The 18872-nt window shown below is 39.9% G+C and overlaps 1 long non-coding RNA gene across 1 annotated transcript in view; it reads left to right on the top strand.

The window, feature by feature from the left end:
* LINC02296 (long intergenic non-protein coding RNA 2296) overlaps nt 1-18872 on the top strand; it is a 268818-nt gene that overhangs the window by 245732 nt on the left and 4214 nt on the right. Inside the window, exons 12-15 of the long non-coding RNA XR_007064294.1 lie at nt 14622-14707; nt 14809-14929; nt 16372-16507; nt 18708-18814. This is a non-coding gene — a long non-coding RNA (long intergenic non-protein coding RNA 2296). The remainder of the gene's footprint in view (nt 1-14621; nt 14708-14808; nt 14930-16371; nt 16508-18707; nt 18815-18872) is intronic.

Below are 18872 nucleotides of genomic sequence, written 5' to 3'. Positions count from 1 at the left end.
TAAAATAAAATAAAATAAAAAGAAAAACATAAAAATTTCTATTTTAATCTTGCATTTTGAAAATACTGATTATGAAAATTAGACTAAGACACTAATCTAACACTTGGTGCTAGAGAGTAGGTAATTTCACAAATTTCAATGTGCTGTACATATGTTATTTATTTTATATTCCAATAACTAGGCTATTCTTCATTCATTTTTAACGTCATAAAAATCAGCTGAGCCCTGTTTAAAGTCACATTTTACTCCTTTGTTATCTTATTTAAAAAATTTAAGCATTATGCTATGGAAATAAAACATTGTTCTTAAAAGGGCAGATTTTCATGGACTTATAACTTTTAATCCATTTTAAAGGCTATCATGATAAATATCATTATGTAGTTTAAGAAAGTGAACAAAACCCCCTTTTATGATTAAATAACACTTAATAACTTGTGACATAAACTAGGAACATATGAAATTTTTCAAAGAAATAAGTGGGAATGGATAATTTTTTTATTCTACAAAAAATATTAAATTGGTTCCTGCTATGGTGGAAATGTTTATATCCTCTTAAAATTCATATGTTGAAACCTAATCCCCAAGGTGATAATGTTGGTAGGTGAGTGGGATTTGTATTCTTGTAAGAGACCCCAGAGAGCTGGTTTGCCCCCTTCTACCTTGTGAGGACACAGTGAGAAGGCATCATTCTATGAGCCAGGAAATGGGTCCTTACCAGACAATCTGCCAATGCCTTGATGGACTCTCCAGCTTCCAGAATTGAGAGAAAAAAAATATGTTGTTTATAGCTTATTTGTTTTTTAATTTTTATTTCTTGAAGAAGTCTCGCTCTGTCACCCAGGCTGGAGTGCAGTGGCACCATCTTGGGATCTTGGCTCATTGCAACCTCCACCTCCCAGGTTCAAGTAATTCTCCTGCCTCAGCCTCCTGAGTAGTTGGGATTACAGGCACATGCAACAACGCCTGGCCTTTTTTTTTTTTTTTTTTTTTTTTTTTGATTTTTAGAGAGACAAGGTTTCACCATGTTGGCCAGGCTGGTCTTGAACTCCTGACCTCAAGTGATCCACCCTCCTCCTCGGCCTTCCAAAGTGCTGGGATTACAGGTGTGAGCCACCGCGCCCAGCCACTTATTTCTTTTGTATTCTTATTTCGTTATCACAACCTAAATGGACTAAGATAGAAAATTAGTACCAATGAGTGGGGGTTCTCCTGTGACAAAGACCTAAAAATGTAAAAGTGTCTCTGAAACTGGGCCGTAGGTAGAGGCTGGAAGAGTTTTGAGACAAAATACTAGAAAAAAGGCTCCTTTGTCGTGAACAGGCTGTTAAGGGTGATTCTGGTAAGGCCTCAGAAGAAAAGCCTTAATATTCTTAGAGAATACCTAAGAGGTTATGAACAGAATATTGATAAAAAAAAGTGGATGGCAGGAGGCTACTCTGCTGAGGTCTCAGATGGAAAGGAGGAATATGTTATTGGACAATGGGAGAAACATCATCCTTATTACAAAGTAGCAAAGAAACTGCCTGAATTGTGGTTGTGTCATAGTGTTTTGTGGAAGGTAGAATTTAGAACAATAAATTAGGATATTTGTCTGAAAAAAATTTCCAAGCAAAATGTTAAAAGCGCACCTTGGCTTCTCTTGAGTACTTATAGTAAAGTGTGAAAAGAGAGACAGTTTAAAGTTGGGATTTTTAATCAAAAGAATAGAACCTTAAAAAAAGGGAAAATTTTCAGTTATCTATATTGAAAGAAAAGAGAAAGCTTGTTTGGGAGAGAACAAGGTTGTCCCTGAGGGACCTTTTGATAGAGATTAGTTTGATCTGCCATCTAAACAGAAACCAGGACTTTTTCTCCAAGACAATGGAAGAATATTTCCAAATAAATTTCAGAGATCACTGGGGCTGCCCCTCTTAGCATGAGCCAGACTACAAGATCCTGGAGCATGCATAGACTTCAAAGCTGCACTCTCCAAATTCTGGTATAGTACTCATTGGCCACCTCAGATGTGACTCCAGTGGGACCAGATGCAGTTTGGGCTGGGGTGACCACGACACCAGAGGGCACAAACTGTAAACCTCAAGGTGCCATCTCTGCTATCACCACAAAAGTGCCTGAGCAATGGGCTATGGCCACCTTCACCTGGAATTTGAAGGATGGAACTCCTGAGCCTTGGACACAGAACCCAGGCAAAGGGCTGCTATAATAGTGGGGCCACTGCAAAGAGTCGCAATTAGGGCAATGCCTAATGGAGTTGTGGGAATGGGGCTTCTCCAAGACCCCAGAATGATAAAAATATCAGCTTGCACTTCCAGCCTAGGAGAGCCACAGGCATCTGAGTCCATCCCATGAGAAATGTGGTGTGGGCTATGCCCAGCAAACACACAGGGGAGCTTTGGAGGACAGAACCCACCCCAGTGTGTCTGGAAGGCAGGACATTGAGACAAAGATTATGCTCAAGATTTAATATCTTTTGCGGTATTAGGTTTTAGGCTTATTATTGCTTTCTTCTATTCCCTTTTGGAATGGGAATATATATTCTATATCTGCCCTACCATTGTGTTCTGGAAGCACAAAATATATTTGATTTCACAGGTTTATAGATAGAAAGCATTTGCCTCAGGATAAATCATATCTTGAGTCTCACTCATACCTGACTTACATGATATTTAGATGAGATTTTTGGACTTAAACTTTAAAGTTAATGCTGGAATGAGTTAACAGTTTTGGGAGCTAATAGAATGAAATTAATGCATTTTGCATGTGAGAAAAACATGTATTTTGAGGAACCATGGATAGAATACTATAGTCCAAATGTTTGTTTCCCCCTCAAACTTATGTGTTGAAACCTACTAACCCATGTTATAGTATTTGGAGGTAGGGCCTTTGACAGGTATTAGGTCATGAGGGCTCTATTCTCATAAATGGGATTAGTGCACCAACCTATTAAAAGAGGCCTAACGGAGCTCCCTTGCCCCTTTTACTATGTGAGGACATGGTAAGAAGGCTCCCTCTATAAACCAGGAAACAGGTCCTCACCAAACACCAAATCTGCTGATGCCTTGATCTTAGACTTCTCAGCCTCTAGAACTGTGAGAAATACATTTCTGTTGTTTGTAATCTGCCCAGTTTATGGCATTTTGTAATAGCAGTCAAATGGACTAAGACAATTCCTTAAGTTTGTTAGACATGTGGAGACTCTTCTGATGTGAGAGCCTCTAGAAACAATTGAAAATTCCTTAAAAATATATAATTTTTTTCAAAGAAAGAAAGCATAGAAAGTACCATAAACAAAATACACGTGTTATTGCTGTGCTTGAAGAGCAAGTCAAGAATTAAAATGAGGGATAACTTAGTGAAAATTATCCCTGGAGTACCCAAAGCCTAGGATAATAAAGACACAGTCTAGAGCTATTGTAAGGTTTTCTTTTTAAGCTAATTCCAGCACATGAAGAAAACCATGTTAGTTCAGGATATCAAGTATATGGCAGATATATATGAGCAACCTTCCAACCAAGCCTCCTCTAGTCTACTACCATATAGATATATATATATATAGAGAGAGAGAGAGAGACAGAGTCTCGCTCTGTTGCCAAGGCTGGAGTGCAATGGTGTGATCTTGGCTGACTGCAACCTCTGCCTCCCAGATACAAGCAATTCTCTCCTGCCTCAGCCTCCCAAGTAGCTGGGATTACAGGCGTGTGCCACCACGCCTGGATAATTTTTTGTATTTTTAGTAGAGACGGGGTTTCGCCATGTTGGCCAGCCTGGGTTTCAAACTCCTGACCTCAGGTGATCCACCTGCCTCGGCCCCCCAAAGTGCTGGGATTATAGGCATGAGCCACCACATCCAGGCTTGCTACCATATATTAATAGTAGCTTAGAGATTTTACTCATTTTTGCTATTCTGAAATCCCTACTGCCATGAATTTCTTACCATTAAGCTAACTGTAAAAACTGGTAAGGAATGAGTATGGATTGCTAATGACAAAGACCTAATTCAAGTTAGCTTAAAACAATAAAGAATTTTCCATTTCAAGTACCTAGGAAGTTCAAGGTATGAAATGGGATTCCATTAAAACTGGCTTACTGTTTTTCTCAGAGCAGTCTCTATTCTCTGCTTCATTCTTCCATGAGTGGGTTGGAATGCTTGCCCATAATGTAGGAAAGTAGCCTCTGGAAACTTCAGGTTTGTTGGCCTTTGGCACTCAGGACCAAGATGAGAAAGAGAGTCTCTACACTGATCATTCAAACAATCAACCTGGGAAATAGACTGACTGGCTAATCTTGGTTCAAACATTCACCCTTGCAGCCAGAGGAGTGAAGTCATTTCTAGTTGACCCACAGCGTTACTGATGAGGCAGTGTGCCCCCAAAGGAAGAGAGGTTGTGTTACTAGAAAGGGGAATGGGTACAATGCAACCAGTCAACAACTTTTAAACACTTACTAGAGTCAGACTCTGTGATAGGCATGTCATATGTTTTCTTTTACCATGGTCCTTAAAAATCTCACACGATTGAATTATTATTATTCCTATTATTATCCTCATCTACAATGTACTAACCTGTCACTGGTGGGATGAAGGAACTTGCCCAAACTACTTATAAGCAGAAAAATTGAAATCTGACTTCATGTTTCCTTTGTTCCTGAGCCCAGACTTTGAAACATTCTTCTATACAGAATGGCTTAATCTTGCAGGTTCAAAAGTGTATGTGAAAATTGTACTTTCTTCTGTGTGATGAGTACTTCTAAGGACCTTTCATCTTCTTCCTGCTATTTGCTCCTTCCTATGCTTCCAAAATATTTTTTAAAGAGAACTAGAGACCAAAGCATAATTTGCATTTTATCACTATGAAATCTCTTTTCAGTTTGCTCAGTTTGATTTCTGGGGTTTCGTGGTGTTGGACTCATTTTTATTTTCTTTCAGGCAAGGAAAACCAAGTCAGCAACTACTAGTTTGTATTAATGTAAGGACGTGTCCCAAACGGTTAACATTTCCTTTATCAAGTTTTTTCTCACTTTACTCAGAAAAGTATATGAAAAATCAAAATCTATACATTTGTTCTCTACTTTTTCCCCATGAATCTCTGTCATTAAGTGGCTATCTTAGCATCTGCACCATACAGCATTAGCTGTACCTCAAAAATAGTTATAAAAGATATGGAGAAAAACTTTAAAAGTACATTGAACATAATTCCTTGGGATATGAAATTATAATTATAAATAAATGGAACTAAACATTAAAATATATTTTTCCCCAAAGAAAGAGACCTACCAAATGGGAGTTTTACATATCAGTAGGTTTTGTTAGAAAATTTAAATTGCTGGAATGACATTCAGCTCCCCCACTTCAAATATGCAATGAAAACTGATATGTTGAAATTTCTCTATTACTCTAGCCATTGACCTGTTAAAAATATTATGGGATGGTTTACCTCAGAAATTGGCATTAATAGGGAAATGACAAGAAACTTGCTGCCCAAATGCAACTATTTCCAAAATTGTAAAAATTGCATAGGCGTTCATTTCAATTTCTCATTTAGAGTGGCAGGGAAGAGTGAAGTGAAATCAAATGCATCCTCCGATTCTTAAATGGAAATTCACTCAGGCTCGTTGGTTCTGAGAGAGATGTGTGCATAGAAGCTTGCCTATTCTGAGCCTAAATTATTTTCTTCCCTTAATTCTTGCTTTTGCTTCAGGTTTGATTTGAGACATACTCTTAGTAAGGGAATAAGAGAGTAATCTTCAGACTTCTTCAAATAACAGTCACTATAAGGCTTATGACTGCACAATTATTACATCTTCTCATTTCCTAACTTTTTAGCAGCCACTTAATAATAAAGGTCATTAGAAAATTCAAAAGCAACATTTTTTTCTAGGTAGTATTTTGGCGAAATAAATATTTAAAAAGGAGGTAAGAAAGAAAGGAGATAATTTCCAGTTTACAAAAAAGAAAGCATTTTCCAGTTTAGGAAGAACTTGTGTATTTCATCACATTTCTCACATTCATCCTCCCAGCGTCTTCATGGGGTCAATGATAACATTCACATCTAGGAGCTTTTTTGTCAACTAAAATAAAATGTGAAATACATTGATTTTTCAGTGAGTTTTAATTAGTAATAGAAATGTGACGATTTTGTAGAAGGGAGAATGGGTCCTCAGAAAAAAATAAATTACATATAATGACATGCACTGAATGAGTGAAGAAGGAGCAAAGATAGGGCTCTGTTGAAGGCCTTCTAATTCCTAATGTCCTAGCAGACAAGAAGCTCTTTCTGTGTCAGATTTGAATCTTACCCCACTGTGTATAAAGTGCTCTTGTGGGTATTGCCATATTTGAGCCTAATACCAACTTCCTGATTTTCCCATGTTAAGTTTGTCCTAATATGTTGTACTTTTGTCCTCAGTTCCAAATGTCCATGCAACTTGCAGTCTGTACTACACAGGTGATGTATTATTATCCTATTTATTGTGTTCATCCTTGTTCAGCCTAGTTCACTAGACTTTTTCACCCCTGCTTTCTGTTAGACCGTGTGCTTGTGGTATCCATAAGTCTGTGTTACTACTTTTGTATTCTCCCACAGTGCCAAGGAAACTGTTATCAGTATAAGATAGGTATAGAAATACATGTACTTTGTTCTGCATTGTAACAATGCATTTTAGTTTTACTGAAATATAGTTACTGTAAACCTAGAATATAACTTTAATGTATTTTCAAAGAAAGAAAACATTTAAAAGTTTACGCATTATTATTTCAAATGTACTAGTATTGTTCACAACACCAGTCCTAATTATTTTAAAAACAACCGAAAATACCTACTAAAATGTGGTACAGGCTAATAAAAATGCAACGTGAATGTCTAATAGAAATATTGTTTTGGGTGGAGCCAAGATGGCCGAATAGGAACAGCTCCAGTCTACAGCTCCCAGCATGAGCGACGCAGAAGACGGGTCCAACTGAGGTACTGGGTTCATCTCAATGGGGAGTGCCAGACAGTGGGTGCAGGACAGTGGGTGCAGCACACCGTGTGTGATCTGAAGCAGGGCAAGGCATCGCCTCACCCGGGAAGCGCAAGGGGTCAGGGAATTCCCTTTCCTAGTCAAAGAAAGGGGTGACAGACGGCACCTGGAAAATTGGGTCACTCACACCCTAATACTGTGCTTTTCCAACGGGCTTATCAAATGGCACACCAGGAGTTGATATCCCACACCTGGCTCGGAGGGTCCTCCGCCCATGGAGTCTCACTCATTGCTAGCACAGCAGTCTGAGATCAAACTGCAAGGTGGCAGTGAGGCTGAGGGAGGGGCGCCCGCCATTGCTCAGGCTTGAGTAGGTAAACAAAGCCGCCAGGAAGCTCGAACTGGGTGGAGCCCAACACAGGTCAAGGAGGACTGCCTCACTTTGTAGGCTCCACCTCTGGGGGAGGGCACAGACAAACAAAAGGCAGCAATAACCTCTGCAGACTTAAATGTCCCTGTCTGACAGTTTTGAAGAGAGTAGTGGTTCTCCAAGCTCACAGCTTGAGATCTGAGAACGGGCAGACTGCCTCCTCAAGTGGGTCCCTGACCCCCAAGTAGCCTAACTGGGAGGAACCTCCCAGTAGGGGTGGACTGACACCTCACACGGATGGGTACTCCTCTGAGACAAAACTTCCAGAGGAAGGATCAGGCAGCAGCATTTGCAGTTCACCAATATCTGCTGTTCTGCAGCCACTGCTGCTGATACCCAGGCAAACAGAGTCTGGAGTGGACCTCAAGTAAACTCCAACAGACCTGCAGCTGAGGGTCCTGACTGTTAGAAGGAAAACTAACAAACAGAAAGGACATCCACACCAAAAACCCATCTGTACATCACCATCATCAAAGACCAAAGGTAGATAAAACCACAAAGATGGGGGAAAAACCGAGCAGAAAAACCGGAAACTCTAAAAATCAGAGTGCCTCTCCTCCTCCAAGGAATGCAGCTCCTCACCAGCAATGGAACAAAGCTGGACGGAGAATGACTTTGACCAGGTGAGAGGAAGGCTTCAGAAGATGAAACTACTCCGAGCTAAAGGAGGAAGTTCGAACCAATGGAAAAGAAGTTAAAAACTTTGAAAAAAAAATTAGACGAATGGATAACTAGAATAACCAATGCAGAGAAGTCCTAAAAGGACCTGATGGAGCTGAAAACCAAGGCACGAGAACTACGTGACGAATGCACAAGCCTCAGTAAGTGATGCGATCAACTGGAAGAAAGGGTATCAGTGATGGAAGACAAAATGAATAAAATGAAGCATGAAAAGAAGTTTAGAGAAAAAAGAATAAAAAGAAACGAACAAAGCCTCCAAGAAATATGGGACTATGTGAAAAGACCAAATCTACGTCTGATTGGTGTACCTGAAACTGACGGGGAGAATGGAACCAAGTTGGAAAACATTCTGCAGGATATTATCCAGGAGAACTTCCCCAATCTAGCAAGGCAAGCTAACATTCAAATTCAGGAAATACAGAGAATGCCACAAAGATAACCAAGACACATAATTGTCATATTCACCAAAGTTGAAATGAAGGAAAAAATGTTAAGGGCAGCCAGAGAGAAAGGTCAGGTTACCCACAAAGGGAAGCCCATCAGACTAACAGCTGATCTCTCAGCAGCAACTCTACAAGCCAGAAGAGAGTGGGGGCCAATATTCAACATTCTCAAAGAAAAGAATTTTCAACCCAAAATTTCATATCCAGCCAAACTAAGCTTCATAAGTGAAGGAGAAATAAAATACTTTACAGACAAGCAAATGCTGAGAGATTTTGTCACCACCAGGCCTGCCCTAAAAGAGCTCCTGAAGGAAGCACTAAACATGGAAAGGAACAACCGGTACCAGCCACTGCAAAAACATGCCAAATTTTAAAGACCATCAAGGCTAGGAATAAACTGCATCAACTAACAAGCAAAATAACCAGCTAACATCATAATGACAGGATCAAATTCACACATAAAAATACTAACCTTAAATGTAAATGGGCTAAATGCTCCAATTAAAAGGCACAGACTTGCAAATTGGATAAAGAGTCAAGACCCACCAGTGTGCTGTATTCAGGAAACCCATTTCATGTGCAGAGACACACATAGGCTCAAAATAAAGGGATGGAGGAAGATCTACCAAGCAAATGGAAAACAAAAAAAGGCAGGGGTTGCAATCCTAGTCTCTGATAAAACAGACTTTAAACCAACAAAGATCCAAAGAGACAAAGAAGGCCATTACATAATAGTAAAGGGATCAGTTCAACAAGAAGAACTAACTATCCTAAATATATATTCACCCAATACAGGAGCACCCAGATTCATAAAGCAAGTCCTTAGTGACCTACAAAGAGACTTAGACTCCCACACAATAATAATGGGAGACTTTAACACCCCACTGTCAACATTAGACAGATCAACGAGACAGAAAGTTAACAACGATATCCAGGAATTGAACTCAGCTCTGCACCAAGCGGACGTAATAGACATCTACAGAACTCTCCACCCCAAATCAACAGAATATACATTCTTTTCAGCACCACACCACACCTACTCAAAAACTGACCACATAGTTGGAAGTAAAGCACTCTTCAGCATACGTAAAAGAACAGAAATTATAACAAACTGTCTCTCCAACCACAGTGCAATCCAACTAGAACTCAGGATTAAGAAACTCACTCGAAACCGCTCAACTACATGGAAACTGAACAACCTGCTCCTGAGTGACTACTGGGGTACATAATGAAATGAAGGCAGAAATAAAGATGTTCTTTGAAACCAACGAGAACAAAGACAAAACATACCAGAATCTCTGGGACACATTCAAAGCAGTGTGTAGAGGGAAATTTATAGCACTAAATGCCCACAAGAAAAAGTAGGAAAGATCTAAAATTGACACCCTAACATCACAATTAAAAGAACTGGAGAAGCAAGAACAAACACATTCAAAAGCTAGCAGAAGGCAAGAAATAACTAAGATCAGAGCAGGACTGAAGGAAATAGAGACACAAAAAACCCTTCAAAAAATCAATGAATCCAGGAGCTGGTTTTTTGAAAAGATCAACAAAATTGATAGACCGCTAGCAAGACTAATAAAGAAGAAAAGAGAGAAGAATCAAATAGACGCAATAAAAAATGACAAAGGGGATATCACCACTGATCCCACAGAAATACAAACTACCATCAGAGAATACTATAAACACCTCTATGCAAATAAACTAGAAAATCTAGAAGAAATGGATAAATTCCTGGACACATACACTCTCCCAAGACTAAACCAGGAAGAAGTTGAATCTCTGAATAGACCAATAACAGGCTCTGAAGTTGAGGCAATAATTAATAGCTTACCAAACAAAAAAAGTCCAGGACCAGATGGATTCACAGCCGAATTCTACCAGAGGTACAAGGAGGAGCTGGTACCATTCCTTCTAAACTATTACAATCAATAGAAAAAGAGGCAATCCTCCCTAACTCATTTTATGAGGCCAGCATCATCCTGATACCAAAGCCTGGCAGAGACACAACAAAAAATGAGTATTTTAGACCAATATCCTTGATGAACATTGATGCAAAAATCCTCAATAAAATACTGGCAAACCGAATCCAGCAACACATCAAAAAGCTTATCCACCAGGATCAAGTGGGCTTCATCCCTGGGATGCAAGGCTGGATCAACATATGAAAATCAGTAAACGTAATCCAGCATATAAACAGAACCAAAGACAAAAACCACATGATTATCTCAATAGATGCAGAAAAGGCCTTTGACAAAATTCAACAACGCTTCATGCTAAAAATTCTCAATAGATTAGGTATTGATGGGATGCATCTCAAAATAAGAGCTATCTATGACAAACCCACAGCCAATATCATACTGAATGGGCAAAAACTGGAAGCATTCCCTTTGAAAACTGGCACAAGACAGGGATGCCCTCTCTCACCACTCCTATTCAACATAGTGTTGGAAGTTCTGGCCAGGGCTATCAGGCAGGAGAAGGGAATAAACGGCATTCAATTAGGAAAAGAGGAAGTCAAATTGTCCCTGTTTGCAGATGACATGATTGTATATCTAGAAAACCCCATTGTCTCAGCCCAAAATCTCCTTAAGCTGATAAGCAACTTCAGCAAAGTCTCAGGATACAAAATCAATGTGCAAAAATCACAAGCATTCTTATACACCAGTAATAGACAAACAGAGAGCCAAATCATGAGTGAACTCCCATTCACAATTGCTTCAAAGAGAATAAAATACCTAGGAATCCAACTTACAAGGGATGTGAAGGACCTCTTCAAGGAGAACTACAAACCACTGCTCAATGAGATAAAAGAGGATACAAAGAAATGGAAGAACATTCCATGCTCATGGGTAGGAAGAATCAATATCATGAAAATGGCCATACTGCCCAAGGTAATTTATAGATTCAATGCCATTCCCATCAAGCTACCAATGACTTTCTTCACAGAACTGGAAAAAACTACTTTAATGTTCATATGGAACCAAAAAAGAGCCTGCATCGCCAAGTCAATCCTAAGCCAAAATAACGAAGTTGGAGGCATCACACTACCTGACTTCAAACTATACTACCAGGCTACAGTAATCAAAACAGCATGGTACTGCTACCAAAACAGAGATATAGTCCAATGGAACAGAACAGAGCCCTCAGAAATAATGCTGCATATCTACAACCATCTGATCTTTGACAAGCCTGACAAAAAGAAGAAATGGGGAAAGGATTCCCTATTTAATAAATGGTGCTGGGAAAACTGGCTAGCCATATGTAGAAAGCTGAAACTGGATCCCTTCCTTACACCCTATACAAAAGTTAATTCAATATGGATTAAAGACTTACATGTTAGACCTAAAACCATAAAAACCCTAGAAGAAAACCTAGGCAATAGCATTCAGGACATAGGCATGGGCAAGGACTTCATGTCTAGAACACCAGAAGCAATGGCAACAAAAGCCAAAATTCACAAATGGGATCTAATTAAACTAAAGAGCTTCTGCACAGCAGGAAAAAACCACCATCAGAGTGAACAGGCAACCTACAGAATGGGAAAAAATTTTTGCAACCTACTCATCTGACAAAGGGCTAATATCCAGAATCTACAATGAACTCAAACAAATTTACAAGAAAAAAACAAACAACCCCATCAAAAAGTGGGCGAAGGATGTGAACAGACACTTCTCAAAAGAAGACATTTATGCAGCCAAAAAACACATGAAAAAATGCTCATCATCACTGGCCATCAGAGAAATGCAAATTAAAACCACAATGAGATACCGACTCACACCAGTTAGAATGGCAATCATTAAAAAGTCAGGAAACAACAGGTGCTGGAGAGGATGTGGAGAAATAGGAACACTTTTATACTGTTGGTGGGACTGTAAACTGGTTCAACCATTGTGGAAGTCAGTGTGGCGCTTCCTCAGGGATCTAGAACTAGAAATACCATTTGACCCAGCCATCCCATTACTGGGTATATACCCAAAGGATTATAAATCATGCTGCTATAAAGACACATGCACACGTATGTTTATTGTGGCACTATTCACAATAGCAAAGTCTTGGAACCAACCCAAATGTCCAACAATGATAGACTGGATTAAGAAAATGTGGCACATATACAACATGGAATACTATGCAACCATAAAAAATGATGAGTTCATGTCCTTTGTAGGGACATGGATGAAGCTGGAAACCATCATTCTCAGCAAACTATTGCAAGGACAAAAAACCAAACACCGCATGTTCTCACTCATAGGTGGGAATTGAACAATGAGAACACACGGAAACAGGAAGGGGAACATCACACACCGGGGAGTGTTGGCGGGGTGGAAGGGGGAGGGATAGCATCAGGAGATATACCTAATGCTAAATGACGAGTTAATGGGTGCAGCCCACCAACATGGCACATGTATACATATGTAACAAACCTGCAAGTTGTGCACATGTACCCTAAAACTTAAAGTATAATAGTAATTAAAACAAACAAAAAGAAGTGAAATGAAAAAAAAAGAAATATTGTTTTAAAATGCAAATGATTGATTTCAAGTCCAATTTAATCAGAAGAATGAAAATTATATTAGTGTTTTCAGTGATAAACTTGATTTTATCTTTGAATGCCCCAGCTTAACATCTAGTCAAAGCATATGCCTACTTACATTTTTAAATATAGCATCTTGTGTGGATTTCTTTAATCTGGTCTACTGTGTTCAAATTCCAGAGCACCAGCCATCTTTGGCATGTATGTAGGCCCTACTTATCAGACAGGTCCGGCTCAAGTTCTACTACCTTTCTGAGACCTCCCTTCTGTGTTTCCCTTTTACTTGACTTTAAGGTTCTTCTTTTTTATGATATTAAGAGTGCCTTAATCCATGAAGGTAGCTCTGGCAAAATAACATAAACTGTGTAGCTTGTAAACAAGAGAAATTTATTACTCATGGTTCTGGAGCAGGGAAGTCCAAGTCAAGGTACAGCAGTGTCAATGTCTGGTGGAGACCCACTTTTCAGTTCAAGTTGACACCTTTATTGTGTGTTCTCACATGGTGGAACAAGGCAAGGCATCTCTCTGGGGCTTATTTTATAAGGACAGTCATCCCATTCATGAGGGCTCTACCCTATGACCAAATTAATTCCCAAAGGTATTACCTCCCAATACAATTACATTGGTGATTAGGTTTTGATAGGATTTGGCTCTGTGTCCCCACCCAAATCTCACCTTGAATTGTAATAATCCCCAAGTGTCGTGGGAGAGCCCTGGTGGGAGATAATTGAGTCACCAGGGCAGGTTTTCCCTGTGCTGTTCTCCTGATAGTGAATAAGCCTCAGGAGATCTGATGGTTTTATGAAGGCCAGTTCCCCTACACAAACTCTCTTTGCCTGCTGCCATGTCAGATGTCCCTTTGCTCTTCGTCTTCCGCCATGATTGTGAGGCCTCTCCAGCCATGTGGAACTGTGAGTCCAGTAAACCTCTTTTCTTTATAAATTACCCAGTCCCAAGTATGTCTTTACTAGCAGTATATGAACAGACTAATACAGGTTTCAACATATAAATTTGGGGGTACACAAATATTCAGATATAGCAAAGGATAAGATCTTGGAGCATAATACTCCCTCATTTCTCACTTCCTCCTCATACTGCCTCTGCCTTTTGAAACACTACTTCCAGTCATGCCTTTACCAACGACTCTTTCCAGTACCTTCCCAGCCCATAGCTATTTCATGGGCACACAAAGAAGCTAAGTGTTTATATTTCTTTATGAGCAATGAAAATTCAAAGAGTAAATTGGAAGATACATACACTCAGATCCAACTCTGGGCTGCTGAGCAATTTCAAAGACTCCCAGTTAAAGATGGTCATGATTCCTATTAAATGGATCAGTGTGTTAACCAAATATGAAAGCATCAAACAACTAGAAAAACACAGATAAACACTTTATCTGATTAGGAATCAGAAGAATCCCAAGTAATGGATGAAATCACACATGGGCTATTTGTTGATATAATTATTTTCAGTACATAAAAGATATTGTGAACAAATATTAAGTGGCAAATTTGGACAGTTATCTGAGATAAAACATATCTTTCAAATGAATAACTGGACACATCTTCATATGAAGGGCCATTTCAGTCCAAGGAGGAATGGGACGCATAGGTGACCACCAAATAGTGAAGAATATGAAAATCCATGGTCATCCCAGAAAAGGTAATGAATTTGACTTCTGAAATCAAATACAGAATAATTCATATGAACCCTTATCTGTTTTTAAGGCAGTTTACAATCTTCCTATTATTTTTATTTTGCAGATGAGAAAAACTGAGGCTCAGAGATGCAAAGTAGTTTTTCTAAGTATTGGACTCAAAAGTCTTCATTCTTTCTGCCACAAAATGCTGCCTTATAGCTGTCACAGCTATGGGTATACCACAGGTAATTTTATTTGTAAAACATTTAACCCTTCTCCAGTACACATTCCATTGATTTTAAACAATTTTGTCTCAAAGAGCTCTTTAAATTATTTTTGTGGGTACACATATGGGTAGGATAGGTCCCAAATCGTACTTTCTGCCAACATTTTGGTTCCCTGAGTAAACAAAGAAGCCAAATAAACTAGCTGACAGAATGGAGTCCTCAGCTGTCTGTGAGTGCGGGTGGTGTAGATGCACATATTAATTCATCTTTAAAAGTCCCAATTTGGGAGCAGTAAAATGGGTTATTAAAAATGTCTTCTCTTGGCCGGGCATGGTGGTTTACTCCTATATCCTAGTGCTTTCGGAGGCCAAGGCAAGAGGATCACGAGTTCAGGAGTTTGAGACCAGCCTGGGCAACGTGGTGACACCTCGTCTCTATAAAAATTTTTAAAAAGTTACCCGGGCATGGTGGTACACACCTGTAGTCCCAGCTACTTGAGAAGCTGAGGTGAAAGGATCACTTAAGCCGAGCAGGCCGAGGTTGCAGTGAGCTGGGATCACGCCACTGTACTCCAGCCTGGGCAACAGAGGGAGGCCTTCTCTCAAAAAAATAAAAACTAATTTAAAAAAAAGCCTTTTCTATGTCTCTTCCCCTCATAACTATCTCATTCCTCAGAACCCACACTCAAGGCAAACTCCAGTCCTGCTGCTTTTTCCAGGAAATGTGTTCCCAAGTTGACACCAGCCCCTTGCCTTAGAGATTAAACATTTGAGGTTCCATATGGTTAGAAGACCCTCATTTTACAGATGTGGAACTGAGGTCATAATTGGGAAAAAGCAACAGGAGCTAGATTCATTTCAAAGCAGCAACAAGCTATGCAGCAACTCTGTGAAGGTGTCAAACTTCAGTGATTTCTAAACACTCATCTGGCTGCATCAGAATCTCTTGGGGAGCTTCACAAAATGCAGATTTCTAGGAAATAACTCCCAGAAAGTTTGTATGAGTGGATGTGGAGTAGATTCTTGGGAACTCTTTTGAAAATAAACTAATAAAAAAATCCAGAACAACTCTCTCCAGGTAATGGTAATAGTACCTGATCTGCTTATTGTTATGAGGTTTACACTCATTAATTTTCATTAATTGCCTGCATCACACATCAGCACATAGTAAGCACTACAGTAATATTTGTTCAGTAAAATGATTTCAGATATTTTATTTTAAGCCTCAAGCATTATAAGAGTTTTCTTTCTACCCATTCTACTTTTTAAAACATTTCTCTGTATCTGACACCAAGAATTTATACTAGCTAAAAGCATTCACTTTTGTTAAAAGAAGTAGAAATTTTTCCTTCAACTTCTCTATGTGGATTTTGGTCGAGATAGGTTGGTGGTCTGGGTTTTCTCATCTTCATGAAACAGATGGAGCACAGAGGCACATGCAATTCTTGCCTTATCCTATAGCACTGTGAAATGGGAGATTCCCTGATCCCCCTGGCGGGATGTGTGACAGGAGTATGGCTCGCCTGTTCAGTTGCTGACACTGCTCAAAGCCCTGATGGGAGGCGGGGCATGCAGATGGATAGATACAGGAGCTCAGGTGAGTATGTGTTAGTGTGCCTTTCAGCACTGCCATCCGTGGACAGTTTGAGTGTTAACCAGCTCAGTGGACATCTGCCTTTCTGCAAGGCAGTGTGTGACAACTTTCTGTATCCTGAGCTCTTGTCCAGCGTCCCACAAGATTTGGGTCACACATGGACCTGAAGGAGGTATGCGGGGTGGCGGAGAGGGGGTTATTGAGTGGTGGAGGTGGCTCTCAGCGGGATGGATGGGGATCCCCTGGGGGGGAAGGGGTCGGAAGATGACATTCCCCTGGAGCCTGGCTGTCCAGTAGCCGAACTCCTCTCTGCGTTCAGACATTCCTCCTCCTCTCTCTTTCTCTGCTGCATCTTTCCACCATTCCTCGGCTTGTCTCCTTGTCTCCTCATCTGCTTGTCTGCCTGTCTGCTTCTAGAGCCTGGGGTTTGGGGTTTATATGGGTACACGATAGTGGGCATGGCAGGTCAAAAGGCAACTTTTTGGGCACAAAAACAGGAATGCCTGTCCCCATTTAGGGCCACGGGTCTCCAGCCTTGAGGGTGGGGCCTTCGCTGGAGAACCACCAGCTTCAACCCAGTGTTTCCCTGTCTCCTGTCCATATCAATTGTAGGTTGCATCAGAGAAGCACAGGGCCACACTAGAGCCCTGAAATCCCCAGTTGCCAGTTGGAGATACTGTGCTGTCTCATTAATACCATCTCCATGACATTCAGGGAAGCTAAATCAACCAAATGCAAGCACATCAGTAGTTTTATTGGAGCCTTAGGTTTTGAACACAGGAGGTCGATAATTCCCTTGTCCCAATTTAATAAGACACTAATGCCTAGAGAGGATTTGGCTGCGTTTTTAGGAGCCTCAAATGGTTTATCATCTCCATCAGTGATACACACAAAGCCTTCAGAATGTGAGCAGGTAGGCTAAGCCCGTCCCGTGGAGCAATGACCATGTGTATTGCGCCCTGCTTCACTGCACTGTGAGGGTTGTTTAAATGCAGTTCACTCATTCAGATTCAATGAGAAGAAATTAAAACTCAAAAATAAAATCAATACTTATCTCTTTGTGCCTACTCAGTGACTGTGGATGCTGGCTTTCATGGGTAATAGATTCAAGCACCACTGCTACTGAATGCTGAAATTTATGGACTTCTCCATAGTCATTAATTAATAGTGTGCACACACAGAAAAATAACCAGGTGGAACACTTAGAAATAAAATTATTGCTGAAGCACTGACTACATAGTTTTTAAGTGGTCAGTCAGCTGAATAAAATGAATAATTGAATATGCTTTACAAGCAGGCAGTGTGGACAAGCATCCCAACAGGTTTTTAATTCTCTCTAAAGAACACATATCTTACAGAGGGATGTGAATTGATTTTATTCTTATCTACTTGCCAAGGCCTTTTGTGGTTGTATTTTCTCCGTGAGGGTTTAGAAGAGCCCTTGCATCATAGTGTGAAATCTCATAAAGGATGCTTTGGGGAGTCCTTTTCAGTAAGTAGCTGAGGACTTAATTTCAGGCTAGGAACCTGCAGAGAAGTTAAAAAAAAAATATGGGTTTAGGCATGATGGAAATTATGCTATATCCTGGCCTTCTTTATACTTGTTGGAAGATAATTTCCATGGGGAACTTTTCTTCGAAAATGCATGTCTTGCTGGGAATATCTATTATCAATTGGGGCTATGTTGATTTCTGAGTATAATTCTTGAGAGAATTCTGCTCCATGTCTGCAAATATGGAAAAAATGATCCTGGCCAGAGGAATGGGAACTGAAATTATATTGCGTTTTGAAACCAGGTTTATCTTGGGCTTCCTTTTATGCTTGTCCTTTCCTCTGTCAACAAAATTTTTCTATAAAGATTAGATAGTAAATATTTTAGTTTTTGCAGACTATACAGTGTCTGTTTCAACTACTGAACTCTGCCATTGCTGTATGAAAGCAGACATAGACAGTACATTAACAAATGAGTGTAGCTTGCTCCAACAGAACTTCATTTACCAAAAAAAAAAAAAAAAAAAAAAAAAAAACAGGTGGGAGCTGCATTTGGCCCATGGGCTATGATTTTCTGACCCCTGATCTACCTGCTTTACAGCTAGCAAAGCCTCGGAATGGTTGACATCCCAAGGAGAGCAGAAGCAAAGGTATGATGAGGAAGATAAAAAGTGAACAGCCTTCTCCAGCTCTTTTTTTTCTTCATTGACAGGATTGTTTTCTTCCATCTGTGCAAAGTTCTACTTCCATAGGGCAGGCCTTGTGCTGACCCATGGAGGGCATTGGAGAGGAATCTTACTTGGTTTTTCTTGTAAATTGGTAAGTCTTCTCCCTATTCCTATTCAAGGTCTATAAGAGTAACTCTCAGAGGAGAGAC

Source organism: Homo sapiens, chromosome 14 (genome assembly GCF_000001405.40).
Source record: "Homo sapiens chromosome 14, GRCh38.p14 Primary Assembly".
Taxonomy (NCBI): Eukaryota; Metazoa; Chordata; class Mammalia; order Primates; family Hominidae; genus Homo; species Homo sapiens.
Note: the sequence above shows the minus strand (reverse complement) of the source record. Positions and strands in the feature narration are given on the sequence as shown.